The following is a 27,381-nucleotide window of genomic DNA, read 5'->3' as shown; positions in this document are numbered from 1 at the left end:
ATTAGTGCAAAAATTTAAATTTTAAAAGCATACACTGCAGACATTTTAAAATGTTTGATTTGATTCTATGTTCATCTTGTTTAATCCAGTAATGATAACCCTTTTGAAGTGATGATTAGTGCCAAATAGATCTTAATGTTGATATTCTACTTTAGAATTGCCATTTTCAAAACAAAAATGGCTTGTATGTAACACACAAATATTGATGTATATGAAAACACTGGTATGGCTCAAACTACTCCAGAACACTGAACCTTCCAAAATAGTTGAAGTCTTGTAGCTTTTATTCAAATTAGAAACTATTTTTATACTAATGGAACATGTGGTGAGATTTTTTTGTTTGTATGTTTTACATAATGTTTCCATTAAAAGATGTTGTCTTAGTCTCTGCGTTTCTTTCATATTGTGTGTGTGTGTTTCTGTGTGTATAGTTTCAGATATGTATTAGAGTCTAATTAAACTTCTTATTTTGAGAGGACAGCTTTCCTCTTGGAACAATCCTATTTCTACATTTTTAGGGAATTTAAAAAGTAGAGCAGACAGGTGACATGACGGAGTATGACACTGCAGGTGGTTGAAATTATCGACAGTTTATATACCATGAGGGAAAATAGTCTAGGGAACAGCAACTCAATGAGTGTACAAAAAGAATACTGACTATATATATATATACACGTATATATATGTGTATATATATGTATATATACACGTATATATATGTATATATATACGTATATATATGTGTATATATATGTATATATATACGTATATATATGTGTATATATAGTATATATATATACACATATATATGTGTATATATATGCATATATATATACACATATATATGTGTATATATGTGTGTGTGTGTATATATATATATATATATACACATATATATATATATATTTTTTTTTTTTTGAGACAGAGTCTCACTCTGTTGCCAGGCTGGAGTGCAGTGGCAAGGTCTTGGTTCACTGCAACCTCCGACTCCCTGGCTCAAGCGATTCTCCTCAACCTCCTGAGTAGCTAGGACTACAGGCACGTGCCACCACACCCAGAAAAATTTTGTATTTTTAGTAGAGACAGGTTTTCACCATGTTGGCCAGGATGATCTCCATCTCCTGACCTCGTGATTTGCCCGCCCGCCTCGGCCTCCCAAAGTGCTGGGATTACAGGTGCGAGCCACCGCACTATGTCTAAGAATACTGAAGATATTTTCTGCAAAGGTAAATTACATGAAATCTCCAATCATGGGAAGGCGGCGGAGTGGAGGATAAAATAAAGCAGGGGAATAAAAGTTTTCTACAATAAAGAGTATTAGTTATCAACAAAATGGACTCTAAAAAGACTGGCTACTATTTATTCATCTTTGTACTACTTTCTCTTCCTTTCACTTATTTCCTAGGCCCCCTCTCAAACAATGCCTGTCTTAGTAATAGAATGTAACTAATATAGAATGAACACTAGCTAAGAAGTTAATAAACCTGCATTTAAAGTTCCTTAGGTTATTAGTTAGTGTATGATTACACTAATCATTTAACCTCTCTGGTTCTTAACTTCTTCATCATCATGAGTGATAAGATTAAATGTTCCTTAATGTCCATTCAAGTTCCAACACACTTTTTATGAGACTTGAACACATTAGCCCCAGTTTATTTAGCAGCATTATTGATCTTACAAAATAAAATGTGAAGATTCCTGCATACACAGGTATTTTTAAAACTTTAGACTCTTTCAAAGAGAAAACTCTAAAAGCAAACATAGCAGAGATGAAAATGAATAAATATAAACATTTTATTGAAATTAATTATATGTGCATAAATGTGTGGGTCATGTTTGACTTTCTTTGCTATGCAAATAATAGTCTCAATTTATTTATCTTTATATAATCCGTTTTTGTTACAAGTTAGATTTAATGTTAAAATCACCTGAATCATATCAACATTTTGCTTCCCAGGCAAATTGCTTTCCAATTTCTGTAATAAAATGTAACTTGAATATTGCTTTTAGATTAGAAATTTTAGTGGGTTAATAGGTAAGAAAAAGAAAAAAAAAAAAAAGAAATATATTAGTTGGTTCTCATACATAGCTCTTATAAGAAGGCAGCACCAGGATGGCTAACAAAAGCATTACCAATAATATAAAATATACTAAAGTATTAGCTGCAAATATGCACCGTGATTATCTAAGAAAGACATTTTCAACATAAAATTAAAATGCATAACTTTTGGAGCAATCTAAGTATAAACCAGATTTGTTCTGAAGGTAAAAGGCAGCTAGGAGATATAAAGCCTATGGCTTCATGAAGGAGTTGATCAAATGTAACCATATGAATTAGTATAGTGCTCAAATACTTAAATTGTTAAATAAACTTTAAATGCTGTAAACACTTTTAAAGTTCATGAACTATGGGTCACAAAATTAATATTCTTGTTATCCTTTTTTTTTCAAATTTTTAAGAACAGCAATCACACATTTATTTCACATATAAAATAAAAATCTGAATGTTACATTTTTCCAATTTAAGTCCGGGTGGGTCCTCAATAAACAAATGCATTTCTCTGAATAGCAAATTATGTAAGTAGCTTTAGGCAGCATACCAAAGTCTTATGTGAAAAGTATGCTCTCTAACTCTCACAATTGTTAAGGTTTATTTGCAATGAAAGTAATTCAGAATTTTCATCCTCTTTATGTGAACCTCAGATCCTCTTAGCAGCATTTGCCAGCCTCTCTAAAACACAGAGACATACACAGACATCATCCTCTTGTTAAAATGAGACATCAGAAGAAACACTTCTGCTCTAGGACATCATTAGAGCTGGACAACAGCCTGAGGAGAGAAAGAAAAAAGTGTTATACCAACATGCCCTTAGTGAATTTTTTTTCTCTTGCAAATGTTGATGGCTATAAAGACTATATAGATAGTTGAGAACAAACATATTTTGTCTTGCAATATGCCACTTGACTACCTCTCTTCTGAAATTTTATACTACTGATTTCTAGAATACTGATTTTCTAAAATGAAGTTTATCTTACCAATAACATTTTAGTATTATACATTTCAGATGATTTTTCAGTCATCCTGTTTTCATCAGGAATGCATTTTGTGCCAATTAGCTTATTCTTTGTCATTAAATTTAGAGGATAATAAATTGCAGTAGGATAATAACAATAGACAAGAAAGTTTAATTTAAATGTTTTACCAGTAAAATATATTTTATAATTAAAAATGCAATGATTTTTCTGAGAGCAAATCTCCCTTAATTTTGTGCATCAAAAATGGTCAGCTTACTCTTGAAAACCAAGTTCACACAATTTGCAAAACATGTTATTCTCTACACTTAATGACATATGATGTAAGCACAATCAAGAGCCGTTTGGCTTCTTCCCTACTGCTACACCAATCCACTCTTCACATTGTGAGCGTGCACAGGCTGGGGGTGCTAGAGACTCATGGAAAACCAGAGGGCTTTATGAATTTGTAGTACCACCACAATATGCCATTGTGGATACTACTAATTTGTATCTGGTGCAATAATTGGAACCGAGATGCACATTTAATAAGTGGTTTCTATAGCTTTAATATACCTGCGAAATGTGAAAAATAACCATTCTTAATTTTGGAACTGAAATTGTATTTCAGAACATGGCCAAGACATACTAAAAGCATAGACATGAGCCCACTACCTAAAACTCTTTTCTTTATTTTCAGAAAGGAAAGACAGTTAGTAGGAAATAAGGGAAATACTTAAATACCACTTTTGGAAACAAACAGGGATTTAACTGCTTTATCTGTCTTTGAGTTTTTAATGCAGGATATAAAGGACCTTAAAGCGTTCATATTGTCTCCTTAAAACCCTCTACTTCAATTTCACCCTTACAAGCTACTACTCTCCTAGGGAAGAGGAAAAAAAAATTTCCACTGACCCAGCTCGTGATTTACATACAGAGAGCAAATAAATGAATGGAGTGGGGGATGGGGCAGTGAGAAGCAATCTGTTTCTTTTTCAACCGCAGAAAATAAGATTACTTACCAAGAACATTTTTATCCAGGGCAAATGTTTATTCCCTCTATCATTCAGCGCCTCAGTCTCTGCAAGAAATCAATTTCCACTCTACCTTTCCCTCCTATTTCTAAAAAAGAGAGTGAGGCGGATAATTCTTAAGCTTCGGGGTCCGGAGGAAGATAGAGCTAGAGCGGAGGGCAAAAGACTCCCACAGCGCTCTTTATACAGATCCCAGCTCTGAGAGCGAACCCATGGGGAGGGGGCGGGGGATCATCTCTAAGGAGAGTACTCCGAGTAGGGAGGGGGATTCATTCTGCAGCCAAAATATAAATCATCTACAAACAGATTACTAGCCTCTCAGTCACACAGGCAGTTCCCTTGGGAAACCGGTTTCAAAGAGGAAGAAGTTCCTGGAGAGAGAGAGAGAGAGAGAGAGAGGGAGGGAGAGAGAGAGAGAGAGAGAGACTGGGGTTTGGACTTGCAGAGGGAATGGGGCCAAGGAGAGGAATAGGGAGAAGGAATAAAGCTAATCTTACCGATCGATCAGGCGATCGTTTGTTCAGTATTGGGACACGAAAATGGCAAGATAATGCATTCGGCAGCAAAGCCATTTCTGGCACACTCTCTCTCAGTTACTGCAGGAATCAGAGGGGAAGCGGGCGCCTCGAAACCTACCACTTGCTCCCCAGGGACCGTCCTCAGAACCTCCAAAGCTCTAGCTTCTAATGCAAGGCGTTCGGAGCTGAGGGTTCAGGTGGAAGTCAATTGTCTTGAGTCACAGGCAGCAGGAACGCCAAAGAAGTGGGACCTGGGAGGGCTGCTGCCGCCGCTGCTGCATCTAACCACGGTTCCCCGTCCCCTTGCCTAAGCCTCACCGGCACAGCGCCCCCGAAAGCGCCTAGCGACTCGGCCTCCTCCGCATCTTCAGCCCTTCGATCACCGCCCGCACCCCCCACCCCCCACCGCCTCGTGCAAATCGCTGATGATTTGGTCATCGTAATGTGACCGGTCGTAGTGGTTTATTTGGGGAGTGGGGGAATTGGTTGTGTTGGGCTTCCTTACTACGCCTCCCTCAGTTGCTGCAAGTGAAAATGTTCAAGGGAAATACTAGTGAAATGCACTGATGGAATACTATTAATCCTAATGATAATGGTCCCAACGCAGGTAACTCTTAAAGAACTGAGAGTGGGAAGATCAGAGCAGGATTTCCGAAGTGGTGCCCTCTTGAATTCTCATTGGATCCTCCCCAGCAGCCTAAATCATTCTTGCTGCTATATCTATCAGGATGACTACAGCCTTGCTCACTAGTTCTCTCTTTATCTCGTTGTCTTCAACACATCCTTTTACTTCTCTTTGCAGATTTATCTGTATTCCACCTCCTGTTCTCTGGGGTTACACAGCTTCTGCCTTTCCCCACTGTATGGGGATGTGCAGCCTGTAAATTTTCACTTTGCTTAAGGATCACCACGAATCACCCCCCACCATTCCCCACCCCCCCATATAAAGCATTTTCACATTCTGCTTTCTTGCCTTGGGGGTTCGTGGCTCTCTGTGTAACTGGTTTTTACTTGGTTACATGCCACCAGGAACTGCTGATTATTTTAAAGTCCTACTACCCTGCAGCTCACTACTTTACCTTGATTTGGAAGATCATGGAATATCTATTTGAATCCTGGATGTATTTTTCTCACAGTCTTCTTGCTTCCTGAAATTTCCTCTGGTAAGTTATTCTCTTTATCTGTTACTAGAAACTTAACTATTGCTATTTTTAATAAGCTCTGTTTTGTTGAAGTATTTCATTTTTCACATTTTTGTTACTTTCAGAACTGAAAGATCCATATGGCCATATTTATTAATTAGTATGTTAGTGGCAACTGCACTGCTAAGACATAACCCATGTAATGTATTACCCCAATATCCCATGTATTACCCCAATATCTTTTACCTTCTTTATTTTTAAAATATTTGTCCTCATTTATATTATGGGTTACACGGACATTAATCGCCCCCACCCCCATTAACCCTTCTTGGCACACATTCCTGTGCCATTTGAAATGTCACATTTTATAGGTTTATCTAAGAGAGAGCTTAAAAGAGACCTTCTGACAATTGCAAGGTCTGGAAAGTTCGCTAGTCGGATATTCAGAAGGTTGTTCAGGTCAGCATTTGTTCATGATAAGCAATTACATGACTGAAGGAAGACTTTGTTGCAAAGTGTATTTTTATGAATTTAGCAAGACCTTAAGCACTAAAATGCCACTGAATGGTAGGAAGAGGACTGTGAGTTTTGAGGGCACCATTTTTTTTTCTTAAAATATTTCAAATCACACATAAGCACGTTATTTTAGGCATTGTATTTTAATTCAGGCATAGTATTTGTCAGTACATTTCTGATTTTGTGAATTAGCTGGTGAACAGTTAATTGGACACAGAGTACTCATTTCAGAGAGGAGCAATCAGAAGAAACCCCTGATTATCTTGGTTCTGATAAATTGAAATTCAAGAATAGACTTTACATGAAAAATTTAATTGCCTCACTCTTCATACTTGTCTGCCCCCAACCCTTGTGTTTAATAGGCATGTTAATATGGTCAGTGCCTTTTGCTTTTATGAACATTTCTATGGACTTAACTGACAAGATTATCACCTCCTCTTCCGTATAGTTGTGTTGAGAAACATTTTAATCTTTACTTTTACTTCACAATTGACACATAATGAGGAAAGCACGATATTCATTAAATGCCAAACCTGCATGTATCGGTAATTTTTAACACCCACTGAGGGTTTTCTCTGAACATCCGCCCCCCGCCCTCAAATTAAGGACAAGTTCCTGGTCTCTACAACATTTCCTTTTCTTGGGATACATGGAGGTAAGAACCTATTGTTCACGCTTTTCTTTTCCTTTTTTTTTTTTTTAATTTCTGGGAAATAACTATTCTTGTCGTCATTGATGGCTGACGCGACAACCCAAGCAATGTTTTTTTAAATTCAAAAGCCCTTTTAGCTCCCAGACATAAAAGTACTCCAGCTGCAGCGTCGCCCCATCCCCCCGTCTCGGGATTCAAGGGCTTTTCCCCCTTGACTCCCACCGAGAGGGAACGGGGGTTGAGACTGTGGTCCGCACCACTTGGCGCCCCTCACCCGTCACTAGGTCACTAGTTTCTACCTGGTCTCTTTCCCAGTCCGGTCGTCCTGCCTGACAAGCCAGTGCCATCAGAGTCCGTGACTTCATTTGAAGAAAGGAGGGCTTCATATAATTCAATTCAAACATTCTCTTTGGAGGACTGCTGTTGTTGCGCAAGGGTGGAGGGAGGAAAAAAAAAAGAAAAAGAAAAAAAAAACTTTCAGTACAGTCAGATCCAGTAAGGAACAGACAGTCAGTATTTAGGTAAGTGCGTTTTGCTGTATTATACCTGAAGCTCAAGCGTGTGAAAGGGAAATTTACATCTGAGGGGCTCCCGCTGCCAAGAACGTTTTAACTGGAGGGTTATCAACAGGCGACTCTGCGTGGAGATTTCTCCGCAGCTCACGGCAACGCCTATGCCACCTGAGCTCAGGGAACGGAGGAGAGCAAGGTGCCTGGTTGACCAGCTGGCCCCAGGCTTGGTGTTGATGTGGGAATAACCCATGCGTGTAGGAAAGGTGTCCCCTACTCTGACCTGCTAGCTCAGGCTCTGCACTCAGCCCCTGCAGCGAACGTGTGCTTGGTGTGGGCATTTGCAGCCCCATAGAGTGGGGTGCGCCAGGGGGTTTCCATCCTTCCAGAATGCTCCATTTCCAACCTTCCTAAGCCAAACTTGAGCAAACCTCTTCTGTATGAGAGAATAGACTTAAGATCTCTGGAGTCTCTTAGTACCTTTTTGCGTTAATATTTATTTATTTTAATGAGCTATATTTAACGTTAGTAAACGACGATTCCTCAGAATGCCTGCTTTATAAAACCCTAATCACTGTCCTTGTCTGACTGCGAAGTAGGGTTTAGAACTGTTGAATGACTTCTTAGGCTCTGTGTTAAAGTATTATTGCTGACGGTCACTCCTTCCTTTCCTTCACCAACTCCCAAGAATCTGGAGGGCGGTGGGGAGAGCGGAAGAGAGTTAGATTTCAACTTGAAGCTAGAGCTTGGAATATAAGGTTGAAGTTAAAAGCAAAGAGTGAGGGTTTGGAATCTGTCTAGCTTATATTATACCCACTTTAAAGTTGGCCTTTTATTTTTATTTTCCTCTTTCTGGAGGTGGGGGTGGGAAGTAGGAAGATCTGGGACTGGGAGCGCTCTCTTCCAGAGTCCACCGGAGAGGGGGTGGTGCTTCTTGGCCGCTGGTTACTGCTGGTTCCACAGCCAAACAGTGACAGAGAGTTTAAGTCTCTGATGGCTGTTCTCCTAGTCCCCAAGAGTTGAACCGGAGAGGCTTTTACTTTGCACCAGGTCGAGAACGTGATCAGCCCTTTAGAGAAGGAACCTCCTTGTAACAGGAATTCTGCTGGGAAACGCCGTGTAGGCACTACCTCCGAAGATAAGATGCATGTTTGGAGCTGTGTAAAATGCCCACTGGCTGTTTGAAAGAAGGAAAAGGTGACTAGGGTTGCAAATTAACCTTAGTATCACTTAAAAATATTCTATCTAGTCAAATGTACGTAAGCAAAGAAGAGAGCACCAGGATATAAAACTGCCACAGCAGCTTGGAAGACAGATGATTCAGATTTTGGGGACTTTCTTTTGCGTGTTACATAGATTTGTTTGTCATCATGCAGTTAAGCAGGTAAGGAATGAATGTATTTTCTTGACAATCATATAACTTGTGTTTTACTATCGTGATGTTTTTTCTGTGTTGCAAGCAATGGAATATATGCATTTTCAGTTGGTCCTGCTATGATGCATAACTTCTTAATATTCACATTCACGAAACAGGGTAAAACAGTTTAGATGTTTAACATGCATTAATTTAACTGCTTAGTGTGCATTTATTTAAATGTGTAGCCATGTTACAAAAATCAGAAACTGGACCAAGGTTAGAGGAAGAAATGGGAAGGGTAGAGAGTTAGAAGAAGAAATGTATAATCTTAATAAAACATGGAAGATGGCAGTTGCAGAAATGCATTAAAAACATTGCTTCTTCTTAAGGTCCCAGACCTTAATATATAAAGGACAGGTGAAGAACTATTAAGGGTTTCTTGAACTATCAAATTAATTCTGACTACTCGAGAGAACTGTTTTGTAGGTATTTCCATTATTTTCTCCACCTTAAGAAAAAATACATGAGGTGGGGGTGGGTTGGGTTGTAAAATAGAAGGAAAAAAGAAGAAAGCTTGCCCAAGGGCAGTGTAGCGTACAACCCCAGTATGAAAATCTTTGGGTTTAGAAAACCAGTTGGAAAACTGAAAAAAAAAAAAAAATAGAAAATTATGGGTTTTCTTCCCCAAATAAATTTATTTTACATTTTCAGTTTTGTAGATTGAGCAGCCAATAGATTTCTTCCACTATCAGATTTTTCTCAATTAAAATGACAAACACATTCTGAATACTCAAATAAGCTTTGTTATTATTATTGATATTGTTTTGTTATTTTTTGCTAACATGTTGAAGGAGCCTGGACTTTCCACACAGTGAAGCAAAAAAAAAAAAAAAAGAGAAAAATTACTAAAACACCATCATAAAACTCTTCTATTTGTTAATAACACTTTCTCTTCTCTAAGAAATTGTATTATTTAAATTATCTCTGGAAATAGTTTTAGTACTTATATTTATTGATGTAGATCCCTGATCAATAATTTTTCTGCTAGTATGGCTTACTGATAAAACCTGGAAGAAATAAGAAAGATAATTGTAACTTTGGGTTGTAAAATTGCAAAGTTGTAGTGCTTTTCTTAGTTGGATGCAAAAGGTAGTTTTTCCTCCACTAGGGAAAGTAATTTGTCAATGAATTCTAATTCCCTAATACTTTTGCATTTAATCCTTAGCAATTTTATTGTAGTAGATATGCTCATTGTGTATATATGTTTGTGTGTGTGTATACATATATATTTGTATACATGCACACATTTTTGGTGGTGGGAGAAGGTATTTATTTTAAATCTATGTTGTTTTAATAATGTTTTCCAAATGAAATAGACATGATACCATATAACGATCAATTTCATTTTCTTTTAATCAGATAATATTACGTGATTTCATCCTCTCATAGGATATCTTATCTTAAGAAATTCATCATCATCATAGAAATGTACATTTTCATAAACTACAATACATCTTGATTTTCTCCATGCAAAGTTATTGTACATTATAATTAAGTAAATAAAACCTAAGTAGGAAGAAACCATTGGGACTCAAAGTGTGTGTGTGTGTGTGTGTGTGTGTAATTTCTACCATTATCTTGACTCCTAGATTTGAGGATTCTTTAAATAAAAGTGTATTTATTTGCAGTGTAGTGTATTTGTGGGTTTCTCTCCACAAGTACAAAGAATGCAACTGTTGGGATTTCCAAACTTTTATGTTTCATTATCAACCTATGATTCAGTTTCTTATGTTTCCTGTATTTATTTTTAGTTTTTCCACATTATCTTTAAAAGAGGCAGTTATTTACTAGAATAAGAGTCTGAAACATTTTGTAATTTAGCAAATTGCATATTAATATTAAAAGAGTTCAGACGCAAATTGGAATATGACACCAACTTGTGTTATCTTTGTTTTGCACACATATTGTTTTTAGAAAAAAAATATTTTTTCTTGAAAAATATCCCAAAGATTTTTGGATATTATGATTGTGTGCTTATGATTAGTGATGTTCTCTTCTAAGGCTTTTAATGTTTTTTTCTTTCACATCGTAATAAAGGGTTATTGGGAAAAGTAGAGTGCTTGTACACGTAGACTTCCTTCCTGAATTTCAGTTCTAGTTCTACCTGGCATTAATGTACTCCTGGTAAGATTTCTTGACCACTCTTCATTTATTTTTCTCATCTCTCACATGGAGGAAACAATGCCTACCTCAGAGAGTTGTACATAAAATGACATAAGAGATATGGATGCTTTAAAAGGACAAATATGTTATGAAAACAAAATATATTTTTCAAGGGATACCATGTAAGTTTGAATTTTTAATTAGACATTTTTGATAAACTTGTATCTCCACACAATAAACAATGTTGACTCAACTTTTTTTTAATGCTAGTATCAAATCTTCTTGGTCAGTGGTGTTATGGTGTCAAATGAATTTAATAAATATTTGATATTGATTAAGTATAACAGTTTCAATATGTGTAATTTAAAAAGCTTGAAATAATACACTTCCTGAGGCATATTAGTTGTTATTTATAGTATATTTACCTTTGCTTTTATTCAGTTTGGGGTACAGTCACCTTTACAAAATAGTTGCTTTTGATTGGTTTCTCATTGTTATTTAATAGAAAGGACATCTGATTTCTTAGCAGATTTATATTGTCAACCTGATGATCTCTACTCTTAATTGGGAACAAGATTAAAATATTTTCATGTAATCATTTAAAAATGGAGAAACTTTAGACAGTCAAACTTCTAATTTCCAATGCTTTTTACAAACTCATATAAAGTTTACTAGAATTAATTAGGATGACATCCGGCATTTTTGGTGTTTTAATTTAGCAACTACTTGGATAAACTTATTTAGACACTTCGAAGTATAACTCTGTCCACTTTCTTCATGCACTACTATGTGTTCTGTATAACTTTATTATTTTAGTGTTAATAATTCATAATTTTTAAAGGAAAGCAAAATAACAAATAATCTATGTGAATATTATTGATTGCTAATGGATAATCTTAGTTGCTAAAAGGAGGAGGATAGTTTAATAATATTTATTCTATTTTAGGAAATATTCTATCCTGTTTTTTGAAAATGAGCCTCTGAGTATAAAATTTAATAATGAACACTAATGACCTTTCTACTGAAGATATACTTGGAAGTCCTGGCCAAGTTCTTAATTTTTTATTTTTTAATAGCATCAAATAGCCACCATAACGATTTTATACTGGTTATGAAATATCCTCACAAAGAACTTTGAAGGTTTCTGCCCCTATCTTTTCAAAGCATAAATATAAGCTAGCAAGAATATTTGTATCCAATTACTCACCTGCAGACCTATCCAATTACAAAGTCTTCATAATTACTTTATAAGCTTACTTTATAAGCCTTTAATCCACTCCTCTACACTTAATGTTTAAAATAAAGTATTCATTCATACAGTTCTGGAGCATTTCCCAATTTCATACTCAAAATAACTAATCAAGAGTAATTAATTGATGCTCTAATAATTGCAATAACTCAATTATGATTTACTAATCAATATCTTTTCCCAAAAATTGAAAGATATAGCATAAATATTTATAATGAGTCGATTGGATTACTTGATGTTTTATCATGAAATACATGTTTGTGTTCAAATTTTGAAATGTTTATATTCAACCATGATTGTATCAATTGAGATGGTGAAAAATGACATGCAATCTACTAAACTGAGAAATCTTATAGATTCTCATTCTTCTATTTCATTGTTATTTTCAATAATCACTATTCATAATTTGTCAATGTTTTATTGTTCAAGTTTAGAGTTAAAAAGTACCCTCAGTGCAACCTATTTTTACTATTTTTTTATAAGTATTTGTTTTAATGCCTAAACCCTAATTAACTCAGATGAGATGTGGTTGCCTTTAAAAGCACCCAAAGCAAAACAAATTCCTTTTAATAGCTAATAAAGTAGCTACCATATTATAGTTCCAGCAAATTAAATCTATAAAGTACACATTTATTGATTAAATTAATAAATACATGAACATTACATTAGAATTTATTATAGTTCTCTGCCATGTAAGAATTATTCTCTCATAATGGTGTGTTTCATTTATATTCCATTATAGATTTATTGTGAAAGAATACTTATAGATAGACTTATTTTTCCTGATTTCTGTGAGTATTAGCCAAGCTCATCAGGATTAAGCTTTTTTTTATTAACTTTTCTGGACTGTTGCATTTGTTAATTTTAAAAGCTATCTCTAAAATATTGCACTATTAAAAAACAATCTAGAGTTGGGAAGACCAGAATTCAGTAACCATGCATTTTAGATTTTTCAGTGTCAAATAGTGGCCAGTATATAACTACAATGTTATTTTACAGATTCATTAAATTCTCACTGTCACTAATAACAAATATTTTCTTTGAAATGTTTCAGATGCTGTTCAAAAATGTAAGCCAGTCTAAAAAATGTGATTAAATTAAATCAAAAACTAAATTTAGCCATTAAAGCATGAGTTTATTCAAATATCATATTAAAAAGCACATATCTGCATGAAGGTTGAGTATGATTGGGTTCTATATAATACCTTATGCATATATTTTTAAGACAAATTTTTTGTAACTGCTTTTAAATATTCAATTTAATGTTGCTCACCAAAGCCCCTTCTGTTATAGCTAAACTAAATATAGAACAAAAATTAATAAAATCAGGAAGTTCCTGGGATAGATAATAAGTAAAGTGGTTTTCATGACTTTAGTATGGTAATATTTCTGATGGTTTGAAACGTCAGCCCTGTAAATGTATATACACAGAAGAAATACTGTTTTTTTCAGACATGAACACTTCTTAAATAATTATAAATACACTCTAAATTGGTAGAAGAAAAATTATGAAAAATTGAATAAATTATGCAGCAAAGTTGCACAAAATACTATTTTAAGATAATTAATGCTTGCTTTCTTAACATTTTTGCATATAACGCCAAGCATGTTAATACATAGATCAAGTCTAGCTTATTGAAAATATTAAAATTAAATGACTATACTTGAGTTTACAGTAATAGAATTTCTTATTATTCATCCAGACCAGTTCACTAATATATAAAGACACAGTAATAGTACATTTTATAAATGTGGTAAGTAATATTGTCAAGATTATACCAAACAATAATGAGGAAGAAGACTATATGTTTCAAAATGGAGTAATTTAGAAGAAAATGAATTATCAATGATTAGTACCAACAACTAGAAAGTGTAATTTTTTCCTAAATATCAATTTTACTCCAAAGAGAGTTTTTTAAACAACTTGTTAATTTTATTAAAAGAAATTTATGGGTAAACAATTATGAAGAAATCTGTGCTTATCAGATGTATAAGATACTCATTTCTACTTATTCAAAGTTTCAGCAGGTAATTTGGAGTAACTCAAAGACAGCATTATTATTTTTCCTAACGTGAACTAGAGAAGTGAATCTAGCTTTCTCTGTGAATTGAAACTTAAACTTCATACCTAAGAAAAAAGGGTCTCCTGAAAAAAAAAATTTAAAGGACATTCAAAGTATATTTTAGAAATAATTTTTACACCTTTTTAAAATTAAATTAATTGTTTTATGCAACTAACTCACTTTTGAGTGGAGACACTTTATGGATTCATAAGCCTCCTCTACTCCCACCCCCCAAAAGATATACAATTTTGCAATCCATAATTCCTTGTTTGAGAACTTTTATATCAAAGTCAGATTATTGTCTTATTAAGTGTGTAGCTATCTTTATATTTTGGTCAAAAATGTAACGCTAATATGTTTGAATAGTAACTTACCTATAGGGAAAATAATTCAGAGGATTCTTGTTTCCTTTTAGAGTGAACTCTGGCAGGTTTTTGTATGTATCTTTCATCCAGCCATGAAATGAAGAAATTTTAACAAATATCTTGTTCAATCAATTTGAAAGACGAAACAACAAATTACAATTGTAAGATAGGCCAGAATAAAAATGAAAGATCACTTTTGTCATTATATGACAGGCTTTTTAAACCTATCATTCATAGCTGTTAATTAAGGAAATCAATTCTGATTTCAAGTAAGAATCAGCAGCTCCAATAATAAGTGTTTGATTAACTGTTAAAATATTTCTTTTTAATAATCTTTAGTAAGGTAAATAAGTTTATTATCATGATTCTTTAATTACAGAAGTGATATAATTTTGAAATGCTTTCCTATATTTTAGATATATATTTGCATCAGTCAAAGCTGAAGACAATTTGCTCAAGATCTGAAACCAGACAATTATTAACTATTAATTAAAATGTATTTATTACTAAATATTGGTCTCAGATAAGTCCAGTAACAGTGATTGCTGTAATTATTGTTCAGAAGGTAATTCTTGACAAGTTCAAACAAGATGATTTTAAAAATTACCACTTAGTTTGTGCATGACATGCTAAGAATAGCTAATATTTAATAGTCTCTCTATGTCAGATATCGTAATGTCTCATTTTAATTTTCTTTCTTTTCAAAATTTGAGTGATTCTTTTTTATGTAAAGACTGTTATCAAAAATCTCTAAAAATGTTTTTCAAAAATGTTTTTAAATTTTAAAAATGGTTTACTTTTCTTTTGAAATAGTACCTCATAACCTTTTGAGTTTGAAGACAGTTTGGGCTATTTTAGAAGTTAAATTAATGTATTGACAAGTGGTCCTTGGAAATGTCAAGTGTTCTCAAAATTGTATATTGGGGAATGATAAAAGTAGATGCTTATTGTAAGAAAGAAAGCTTAGTTAGACACCATGTAACTTTTGGAGACATTATAAGGCTAACCTCTGGGTTAAAATTTGGGCTATCCAAGCCTCTCTGTCAACTGGGTAAGTTGTGCTAAGGTTTTCTAAAGAGGCATTCTTTAATTAGAAACACCCAGAGTTCTGACATGCTTTACTAGATGGCAGTTAAGGAGGCAATTGGAAAACAGCATATAAAGATTTAAGTACTTGGTGTTAGTTTTGTTTGCTTGTTGTCGATCACTTCTGTTTTTGACCCTTTTTTTAAAAAATGTACATTAGATGTATGATGAATTATGTGCACTGGTGTAAACCCTGGGAATATAGCAATGAAAATATGTAATCATTGCTCATAAGATGCTTACAGTTTTTTGCTATTTGTAGTACACTTTTTAAAATTAATCTACTAAATCAAATTTAATGCTTGGTCACTCATTTTATTTGCACACATGTCCAATTTTGATACTGTAAATATAACTCTCTTAGAGAGAAGAGGGTTGTCTAATTCTTCATTATAGAGAAAAGTCAATGAATAATGCATTTTCTATGTAGGGTATTAAAGAATAACTATTAAAGAGAAATGGAGAAACCAGGACATTTCTGAAAATAGTCATAACAATTCTCAGAGTGATGATTTAGTGGCATTTTGTGTGTTGTTGTGTTCGTTGTGTTTTTTTATCTCCAAAATATGTTGGCTTCTTTTTAATGGAAACATTTCCAATAATTTTTTTAAATTATAATAATTAATGAAAAATCAGATTAACATTACGAGTGTTTTATTTACAAATTTATTTTTTATTCAATTTATTATTAATAAACTCCATTTATTTAGGACCTTCTACATGCCAAGTTCTCTTGTTGGTGCCACAGAGATATTAGTGTATAAAACAGAGACAAATCTGCCTCATGTTGCCTAAACTACAGTGGAATTGTTACCATGTGAATTGAATGACTTCTGTAACCAGTAAGAAGACAAGTTAAGGGGTTTACTAATAATATTTGTAACACACATTCCTCGGTTAAAAATGTTGAAACATTTTCATTTCCTTAGAAATTGGTAAAAAAGAAACTGAAGATTATTATTTTGAAATTCTGAAAGTTTCTTCCTGTGGACTAGATAAGTACTACCTCTTTTTATCTTAGTAAAAAGTTTTACTGAACCATCTTTGAAAGCTCCTTAAATGTAATATTTATTTGTCAGTGATTTCAGAGTACATGCTCTTATTTATGCTTCTCTAGAAAATAACTTCTAAGTAAACAGCTCATTTCACCTTGTATGCCTGGTTAACTCCAGGGTAAGCCTGGGAGCAATTACAGATTGAGAGATTTCCATTTGGTTACCAAACTCCAAGATTTCTTTGTCCCAGTATTGAGAATTGTTCTTAGATTATATTAGTAAGCCATTATTTAGAGCAGTATGAATATCTTTGCTGAACCATTTTTATACTTTTAGTTTTTATTTGAGATCATTGTTAAAGAAAAAAAAAAAAACTTTGTAAAACTGAAATTGAGCACACTATCCAAAAGTGCAGGGGCAATATTGTCCACATTTTCTTTAAATTGACACTTACATGACAAAATTCTTTTAATAACAAAAAGCATTTATTATCCTTGCAAGTGGAACACTTTCTATTCTTAGATTCTGCCAGGAAAGGCAAAATCATGTTGCCAGTCATAGCAACAATTAAATCTTGATATCTGCACCTAACATTTCTACTTCATTTCTACATATCGTTTTAATCTTTTTTTTAAAACTGTCTTCTGTTTTACTGTTTTGGTAGTAAAACATATTAATTGTCATACATTTTCTGAAGCTGTTAATAAAAAAATTATTCATAATACTTGTTAAAGACTTGTGGGATAGACCTTATTCAAGGTGGGCTACTTTAATGGGGTTTGGTAAGTGGAAGACAGCTGTTTCACTCAACTCTGAACTCAACAAGAAAAAGTAGAATTTCTAGCCAAGGAGCAGGATGGGGATCAGTGGATGGAAAATTACTAAGAGAAAACATTAGGGGTAAGAGGGGATTCTGGCTAAACTGATCTAACAGGATTCTTGCTAAAGACAGGCCAGGGTGGTCAGATATCACCTTCAGGATAGTGAAGAATGAGGAACCCAAACGGATATCTAGGCGGATCATATATTAAGGGTGAAGATTCAAATAAAACTGACTTAGCAGGATTCTTGCTAAAATTGGACAACATAGAGACAAATGCAGAAGCTCAGAAGTCAGGGGCTGAGAACTGAGTTAACAGGAGCCTGACTAGAGTTAGGTCCAGAAAAGAGTCTTTGTCAAAGCGTTCCCTATACTTTATATTAAAATTAGATTTTCCAATCTAATATACTTTCTAAACATCTTTCATTTGGACTTCATTCTTTAGTGCCTGACAATTTCTTTATGAATTAAAATGAAGTACAATCTGAATCTTACAATGATATTTTCTTATATGATCATCTACGTTGAAACACCATGATATTTTATATTTATCAGAAAACCTAGGTGATTCTTGTATTTGGGGCTCTTAAGAATAATTTCCCCTATGTGCTGGGCCGACTTAAGGAATGGAACTTACCTTCTCTTCATTCTTCTAATCAGTTCTACCATTAGGTATTAGCATTTAACTTCCTCTTTGTTGGTAGGACAAGACTGTATTGACAGGATGAAGTAGGAGATTAGTTTCCTTAGCAGTACACATTTCTCAGAGGAATACTAACCCTCATTAAGTTGGAAAACAAAGCTGTAATTCAGGGCACTATATTGCCTGATCAGCTAAAATAAACAAGAAGAATAATTTTCTGGAACACAGGTTTAGCAGAGTTATATGACTAGAAGAATGCATTTCTGAGGTCGGTATTAACTTGTATAATATGATTGAAGACAAGGAAGCTCAGTTATTTTGAGAAAGAAATAAAAAAGAATAGAAAAATAAAAAAGTGCAATAATAATGCATTGCTAGCACATTAATATAATGGAAATCTCCTGCTAGTGCAAGCATATATAATAAAGCAGCCCAAAAATATTTATTCTTTATAAAGTTAAAAAATAAACAGGAGTTCATTTCAGTACCTGTTCCAAAAAGTTACTATGCCTAAGACAGTGCATTACGTAGTAGGGGCTCCAGGGATTACGAAAACATAATAACTGCCAGCAAATCTCTCGTAATCTGGTCATATGAACAAAGGTGTTAAAAAGAATAACAACAGCATATTGTAAAATTTTACAAGATTCATGAATGAAAATCTATCCAGTCTCTACTTACTTTAATAATTTATGACCTACTTTGTTCAAAAAATTTAAGGTAGTTATTAATACACCAAGACATTTGTCTTTGAAATTCAAAAGGGATTTCTATTTCAAATAAACATCCATTTCTGCCATTTTTGTAGCCCCTCATTAGATAAATTCAGTTTGCTTTGATGCTTGGAATTAAATACCATTTTTCTTTAAGGATTATCACTAACTTTTAGTTTACTTTTTTTTTTAAAAAAAAACACTTTTTGAAAGACGTAATTTTTGTTATAATTCCTAGAAATATTCAGTGATAATTTGTCTTTTTAAATTTCAGAATTATTTTATTCCCATTTTTACATATTATTGTTTATTTCAACAGAAGATAAAGATAAAGCAATTATTTATCCATACTCTTGTTGGAGTATAGAAATAGAATAGCAAAATCCTACCTATTTATAGGACGAATGGCCTACATTGTGCAAAACAAGATTTCATATCTTGAAGAATTATCTGACATCTTTAGAAAATACAGTAGCAAATTTTAGTTTGCTGGCTATCTAAAAATTCATTACCTTTAAATAAAAAATGTAAAGATTAAGAAAGAACAATTTGAAGTTGTCTGAAATCTAAAATTATAGATTGTAATCAGTATTTCACTAAAGTGTGAAGTTATACATCATTACCAAAAAGCAATGATACAAATTATTGAATAATGAGGCTCTCATTCTTTTACTAATCTGACTACAGAATATATAGAATTTATGAACATCCAAAAATGAAAATCTGTGTTTTTACACATGTAAAAAGATAATGTATTACCTTATTTATTTATGTTTGAATATGTTCATGGAATATAATACCTGAGTATTGACTGATGTCCTAAAAGAGCAATGTCTTTAAAACTTTTTTTTTGTACCCAGGATATTTCTTGGCAAATGATGTTATAATTTTTCCTTTTTTTTTAGTTGTAGTTCTGAATTTTCACGCTATTATCACTTAAAATAATACTTGTTAGAAATGACCCTCATATCCTTATATCCTTGTCATTATCTATTGTATGGGAACATGAAAAAACAGATTTTAATTAAAATTGTATGATTGCATTTTAGCAAAATATTAAGTGTCATCTCATTTCTCTGAAATTTTATTATGTCTCCCATTGTTAGACACCAACTATGTAAGTGTTGAATTGTCTTATTTTTAGTAGTACTATAAAGCAATTTATAATAAGATTGAATAATCAAAGCCTACTGGATTAATCTTACAATTTTTCTGAGGAACAGATAAGTAAATTAATCCAGTTTAGCCATGATTATACTTTTCAACCCAATAAATATCATATGTAATATGAAAAATGTTTTCTAATTTTTGACTTTTCAGTACATGTTTTAAAATAAATCACATTTAGTAGATTTAAACTATCACTTTAATTCAAAATATTAAACTATACAAAGCAAACACTCAATGAAAACCCATAATATGTAGTTACTCAGAACACTTGCTTGCTTTTAATAGCTTGAGATAATAGTATTCTTTCATTTGAATTTTTATTTTATGCAAAGGTGACCTCAAAAATTCTAAGAAATAACTTTCAATTTGCAATTGGTTATTTTTAGGTTACAGTAGAGTACAACAGGAAAACTATAGTATTCAGTTTGACTTCAAGAGTACAAATGAGATCTTAATATATACTACACTGTGCTGCTGAGAACTGAAATAAGAAAATTTCGTGAAATGCTTGGTATATCAAAAAGATTAAAAAGGTGTTAATTTTGTTGTGAAGAAAATAAAAATAGCATTTCATTTTATCATCATTTTCTTTACTTTTCTCACAGGTAGTCAGGGAGATCTCAATCAAAATAATCCTAGTATATGATTTTCCAAATGGAGAGGAACAGGCTATTCAATTCCTGTTTCTTTATTATTATTCTTTAAATTCTCATTGTGCTCCTCAATTAGAGGGGGATTTTGGTTTGGCTGTTTGTTGATTAGGATCTAGGTTTGACTTTCATATATAGTTTCTGTCTTTAGAAATTGAATTATAGAACATAAGTGAAAAAGTCCTTAGTTTTCCAGTTGTGCATAATATGATAATCTCTTATTGTTATGTCCAAAGCTAATAATTAATAATAATACTTTCTATTTTTGTCCTTAACATTTTTTAACATTAAGAATATCTTGCTTTGGGCCAGGTATGGTGTCTCATGCCTGTAATCCCAGCACTTTGGGAGACTGAGATGAGTGGATTACCTGAAATCAGGAGTTTGAGACCAGCCTGACCAACATGGTGAAATCCCATCTCTACTAAAAATACAAAATTAGCTGGGAATGATGGTGCATGCCTATAATTCCAGTTACTTGGGAGGCTGAGGCAGGAGAATCGCCTGAACTGGGAGGAGGAGGTTGCAGCGACTGAGATCGAGCCACTGCGCTCCAGCCTGGCGAAACTCCGTCTCAAAATAAAATAAAATCAAAATTAAAATTAAAGAATATTTTGCTTTGATACTCTTTGAGCTTGTCAATATATGTTTACAATCTGGTCTTAAAAATCATTACCTCATAACTCAATTTGCTCCCTTTCTTCAACTGCCAAAGCTATTTTCATCCTGACACTCAGCTCAGATGCAGATTCGGATACAGATTCTCTGTAGATTCTATTTCCATGAAGAATAAATTTTCTTTTTATTATATGGTCTTGCCAGCCATATCACACCACCAGTTGCAGTTGCACCCTAATTTAGTACTTATTTCATCAACATTTATTCATTCACTCTAACAATACTTATTTATGCAGGTTTATTTCAGAAACTTTGGTGACTATTTTCTTGTCATTAAGATAGGAGCAATTATTTTTCTCCCAAAATTAATCTAATTGAAGGAAAGGAGATGTGCAGGGAAATAGGGCAAACATGCAAGCAAATATCATGTAAATGTACCATCATAGGGAAAGTAATGGGAGCATAAAAAAATGACCAACCAACTTTGTAGGGTCATGAAAATCCTTGTGAATGAAATGATAATCTAGTCTGAGGTTTTAAGGTCAATGTTAGGCAGATGAAGAGATCCTAGTCCAAACAGTCATTCAGGCAGAGGAACCGCAATAAACTAAGATCTTGGAGAGAAAATGGGGTGAAGATGAGGTCTATGGTCATGGCTGAAAAACAAAGTTGGTGTTTGGTTAATAACTCTCCTGGCACATATACATAAGAAAGATATGGATAGAGAGTTAAGCAAGGAAAGATAATTTCATAAGTTATTTTAAAGAGATCAGATATCCTGAAACAAAAGTCATTACATAATTGGGGGTAAAGGATTTGCATGTTCAGATTTAACTTTTTAGTAAGATCACTCTGACTGTAGTAAAAAGAACAGATTGGATAGAGCCACATGGCTAGTGGGAAAACTAGTCATGAAGCTATTGCAGTAATACATTTTAGAGGCAAAGTTGGTATTGTTGAGCGTATACTATGAGCTGATCAAGTAAAATGGGGGTGGAGAAAAAGTGGTAAATCTTATATTTAGGGGGAAGAATGTACAGAACTTGAGGACAGATTGTATATGTGAGTGAGAAGGTAGGTCAAAGTCATGTTTAGGCTTAAAAATTTGAGTAGATGGAAGTATCATTTAGTGAGATAAGAAAACCAGAAAAAAGTTTGGAGAACGTTTAGTTTTCCTTGACAGAGGTATCATGTTCTAACAGAAATGGCCACAGGCAGTATGCCCTGCCTTCCACATGGCCTTCCTAAACCGGTAAGTTCCTGAGGCTAGAAGCACTATCTTTATTAAGACTTAAGGCCCACCTCTGTCTCAAAACTTATCATGATATTTTGCACATTGCAATTGATCAATAAGATTTATTTTTTTATTCTGGTTTTCTACATTATTACTTCTACCAAATTGGAATTGAAACAATTAATAAACTATAGTGGAAAAAGTATTGAAAATTTATGTTAAAATATTTTTACCTCATCTACCATTTATTTACTTACACAATTATGTATTTAGTATTCATTTATTTCATAGCTAGTATTTATTTAAATGAATAATCAAAAAATAATTATTATAGTTATATATGATTATATAATAATGCTGTAGATTTTAAACAGATTCTGGGGTACTACATATAAATATTTTATTTTATAATAAATAATTCTAACATTTATAATTTAATAGATTTAATAGAATAATATGTATCGTATTATTTGAAAGAATGTGACTTTTTAAATAGTTATTTTGAATATTGGATATTTTATTTTGAAGATTCATAGTTTTACATTTATAAGCTTCAGTATTAGTAAGCATTAATGTTAAGAAACTATTTTATAGAGCAAAGTAGTATTTGCTCAAGAGAAGAAATTTAGAGAATGGTTGCAGACATTGGGCAAATCAGCCAATTTTCTTTATACCTTTGTCCAATACTTAAAAATTTATGAGAGGGAGAGAGACAGGGAAAGAGAAAAAGAGACAGAGAGTGATAATATGGTAGAAAAAAAAGAAAACAAAACTGGTGACTCTAACTGACAGATATGTAAGAGTTTACCGTATCAGTCTTTCAGTTTTCCATGGGTTCTACATTATTCAAAATGAAAGTAAATATGTTTGATACAATGGTTTTCTGAAATGACTTTGCATATTCAAGTTCTTCAGCAGGTTTTAGTTCCTGAGAGAATATTTTGGATATGTAAGCAGCAAAAATCAGTCCAAATGCAAATACAAAAAAAGAAATGATACAGTTTGCAATGTTAATTGTTTAACAAATAGTAATAATTATCACTGGACATCTAATTCAGTTGTGGATAATAAGATACTGAGGTTTAAAAGATGCACCACTATGACATGACCCACCACTTTAAAGGATATTAAGTTTAATTCAGTGATTCCGAATATTTTGTTTATATCTTTGTAGTTTCAGTTCTACTGGAAATTCACTTTTACTGTTATAGTAAATATTTCTTTCATAAATTTCAATATTTATGAATTTCAAATATATATGATATATCAGTATTTTAGATAAAAGTAAGGTACCACCACCTTGGAATAAGACTACTGACAGCTAGTAAGAAAGAATAATCATATTTAGACTATATATTATACACATATTATTTATGCATTTATTATGTATTATATGCATTAGTATACATTAGTATATATGTAACATATTTTTGATGTATTTTATTTCTGCACAGATTGTCAAGGCCATTGAGGATTTGCAAATAAACTTGTATCATGATGTGGTCTTCACAGTTATTTTTTTTTTTTTTTGTGAGAAAGAATTTAAGAGTAGGACCTATACTAAATATCTGCTTTTCAAATAGATATTTCAATATTTATGACTTATTTTTTATGAAAAAAACCATAAATACTTAATTAAACACCATGTTTTAAACATAAAGTCATGTTTTTAATTTTGTATTGTTTTTAATGTTTTGTTTTTTTGTGTTCTTCATTCTCTTTTATTTCTCTCTTTTATATAAAATCACTCTCCCATGGTCCAGAAAATATGGTGCATTGATGTTCTCATCTCTTTAGTTGGCCAGTTAGCCTCTTGGTTATGAATATTAAATTCTGGACTATTTTGCATTTCCCCACACTATAGAAAAAGTGATAAATTCATTATTAGTTTAATAATTTCTATCCTCTTTCATTGGAACTTGTGATTTCTCTTTCTTGGCAGTATATCTAAGTTTAGCTGTTCACCTCACTTGTCACCTCAAAATATCCTAACACTACATCGTAACAAACAAACTCTATTTACTAAACCATCTCTGACACATGGATTAATATGGTTATAACCCAAACCAAATAAAGCAACCAATTAAGGTAATTCAGTAATAATTTATAAATTAGTACTCATGAAAATATGAATTAAATGTACAATGATCTACTTTTGTGACAAACCAGGTAATGAAGCTCTTCTGATGGTGAATATTGAGTTTAATTACCACTTGTCCTAAAGATGGCTAGAAGCTTACATGCTTGCCTTAGGCATTCTATTATGACTTTTCTCCCTGTCATGTAACTTGTGAAAAAAGTTCTTAAACACTATTTCAGTATAACTTTATTGGGATATCTCAATTTGTTCATTACAAAATATCTTTATAAAGTTCTTACAAATACAATGATTTTAGGATATCACCAAAATTAACTTAATTTGGGGTAAGATTGACATTCCTATGTGTTAACAAACTTTCAGAAAAAAATTATTTCTGTACAGAAGTGGGGAACATGTTCCCAAAGTCAGAAGTAGAAAAAACAGAAATAATTAAACCCCCGAATTATGTGATAATTACCTCATAATTACCTGGTAATATTGTTAGGTAGTTCTCTGCACAAAATTAAAGAAAACCTTTCTATCTTCCCATATGTTAAAATGCATAACAATGTGAAATGATGGATATGTTAAATTGTTCCACTACTGTAACCATATTACATCATGCTATACGCCTTAAATATACACAATATAGTTTTTTTTTTTTTTAATGAGGGGATATGAAGACTATGAAACAAGCTCAACACATTTGATAAAGAAAGTGATAAGAAAGTGGTTCTGGGTAATTCACCTATTGAAAAATTACAGAATTGTAGAACAGGACCTCAAATGCCATCTAGGTCAACTGTATCCTACTTTTAAAACACTTTGTGTATTACAAAAATCACATGTGTGAGTACAAAACATTTGTTTAATTTTAAGGTGTATAATGGCATGGCTTCATACCAGTATAAAATATAACTTAAAACTTTACCACATGTCCTTACCATATGGTAGGCACTATTCTAGGGATTTTACAAATATTAACTCACTCTATTTTTATAATAGACTGATGAGGTGACCTCTATAATAGTTTAGGAATCTGACGCACAAAAGAAGTTAAGTAACTTGCCTAAAGTCAAACATCTATAGCGTTAGTAGAAGGGCTGGGTGTTTTTGTTTTGTTTTTGTTTTTGTGTTTTTTTGAGACAGAGCCTCCCTCTGTTACCCAGGCTGGAGTGCAGTGGAGTCATCTAAGCTCACCGCAACCCCTGTCTCCCAGGTTCGAGAAATTCTCGTGCTTCAGCATCTAGAATAGCCAGGATTACAGATGTGTGCCACCCTGCCTGGCTAATTTTTGTATATTTTTAGTAGAGAAAGGGTTTCACCATGTTGTCCAGGCTGGTCTTGAACTCCCAACCTCAGGTGATCCGCCCTCCTCGGCCTCCCAAAGTGCTGGGATTATAGGCGTGAGCTACCGTGCCTGGCCAGGGCTAGAATTTTAACATCAGCGGTTTGGCTCTAGAGTCCATTTTTTTAACCACTATGAATATTGTCTCTTGACGTTATATATCCTAATTTGCTATATTGGTTGTTGGGTTTGGAGAAAATCTGATTTCATTTTCAAAGAACTGTTTTCCAAGTTATTTATTAGGATGAAATAAGTACTGTTTGAATTTTTTCAATAATATTCTTGTTCACATCTACATTTGTTAATAAGAGAACTTCATTTAGATGGTGTGACTGAAGTTTTATTCAATTAAGAAACACATCCTTTCAGATGATATATGTAATATGGACTTGAGTAGTGGTTTGAATAATTTATTCTGTCTTTATGAAATGAAAAATTACTCATTTAAATTAAGAAATTATATATTCTAAAAATAATGATTAAATTTTGCCCGTTTAAATGTATATGATAAGCAAAATAAAAATAGTGTGTTTAACAAAGACGAGTAATATTTTTTAGTCACAGGATTATTATACTATACCACTACACATAAGAATAATTGTGTTTATAAATGAAAGTAAGCTATATTTTAAAATAAATTGTATAGTTCTCATAAGAAAAAATATATAAAATATTTTTTCAGCAAATTTGAAAGTTAGGAGTTGAATCATTTGACAATGGTACATTTATATAGATAATAGAAAAAAGCCTAGAATCTCCAAGCTCCTATTCCAAAATTCTTCTATTATAATATTCCTTCTTATAGAAAATCATTTTTAAAATGTCTTCACTTGTAAGGCTTCCCATGTTGTTTACAAAAGACGGTACGCTTTAATCCCCTCAGTGAGCAACTCATATGATTGAGGCAACTCATACAGTATGTGAGGAATGTCCTTTTATGGATATCGTGATATTAAGAGTTCACTCATTGTATCACTGCTTTGAGCTACTTCAGAGCCCCAAAATTATTTCTCTATATCTCTCAGATAGAAATAGTTTAGGATTAAATACAAATAATGGGGTTATAGCTAGGAAAGTACATTAAAACCACCAGTGTTCTTATTCAAATACCAGAGAAATATGGTAGCTACTATTACTGATATATCTTAATACTGTAAATCTTAATCTTTTTTTCTAAAGATGTTTTGCTGAGTAAGAACTCATGCAAGTAAACCTTTCTCATTAGTCAGAATCTTTGCACTCTGTAGTGCTATGTGCTATGAATAATACAGTTTGAAAAGCTGATGAGGATAGAAAGAAAAATTGAATTCAAATATTTTTAGAATTTTCTGGTGTAGCATATAGACATTGCATCAGCAGCTTTGCATAAAGTGTCTTACACTGTACCATACTGGGATTATACGTCTTATTACTTTTTTTTGAATGATTATACTACAATGTATGC

General features: G+C 32.8%; 1 protein-coding gene and 1 long non-coding RNA gene across 15 annotated transcripts in view, besides 2 other annotated features; one reads left to right on the top strand and one right to left on the bottom strand.

The window, feature by feature from the left end:
* Positions 1 to 1,780: 1,780 nt before the first annotated feature.
* Positions 1,781 to 4,915, bottom strand: BRINP3-DT (BRINP3 divergent transcript). 2 transcript variants are annotated; one of them, NR_110716.1, is made up of 3 exons: positions 4,683 to 4,915; positions 4,035 to 4,093; positions 1,781 to 2,830 (listed from the first exon to the last, which is right to left on the bottom strand). It is a non-coding gene; the product is annotated as a BRINP3 divergent transcript (long non-coding RNA). The 2 variants fall into 2 exon arrangements; NR_110717.1 differs by lacking the exons at positions 4,035 to 4,093; positions 4,683 to 4,915 and adding an exon at positions 4,544 to 4,624.
* A 395-nt stretch (positions 4,916 to 5,310) lies between these two features.
* Positions 5,311 to 27,381, top strand: part of BRINP3 (BMP/retinoic acid inducible neural specific 3) — a 380,207-nt gene continuing 358,136 nt past the window's right edge. For 5 of the 13 annotated variants that reach the window (XM_011509476.3, XM_047419245.1, XM_011509472.3 and 2 more), the window contains exon 1: positions 8,353 to 8,767. The gene's annotated coding sequence lies outside the window, so the exon portion shown is untranslated. Of the gene's footprint in view, positions 5,728 to 7,187; positions 7,396 to 8,352; positions 8,768 to 27,381 lie in introns of those variants that run through there. The other 8 variants (XM_017001129.2, NM_199051.3, XM_017001127.2 and 5 more) reach the window with 4 other exon arrangements.
* Positions 10,049 to 10,249: a silencer, noted in NCBI's record as "peak571 fragment used in MPRA reporter construct". NCBI's record gives its function as "represses an SCP1 promoter by STARR-seq MPRAs in K562 erythroleukemia cells {active_cell/tissue: K562}" and the evidence as "EXISTENCE:reporter gene assay evidence [ECO:0000049][PMID:32103011]".
* Positions 15,369 to 15,569: a silencer, noted in NCBI's record as "peak569 fragment used in MPRA reporter construct". NCBI's record gives its function as "represses an SCP1 promoter by STARR-seq MPRAs in K562 erythroleukemia cells {active_cell/tissue: K562}" and the evidence as "EXISTENCE:reporter gene assay evidence [ECO:0000049][PMID:32103011]".

This window comes from Homo sapiens, chromosome 1 (genome assembly GCF_000001405.40).
Source record: "Homo sapiens chromosome 1, GRCh38.p14 Primary Assembly".
Lineage (NCBI taxonomy): Eukaryota > Metazoa > Chordata > Mammalia > Primates > Hominidae > Homo > Homo sapiens.
This window is presented reverse-complemented; position numbering and strand designations above follow the sequence as displayed.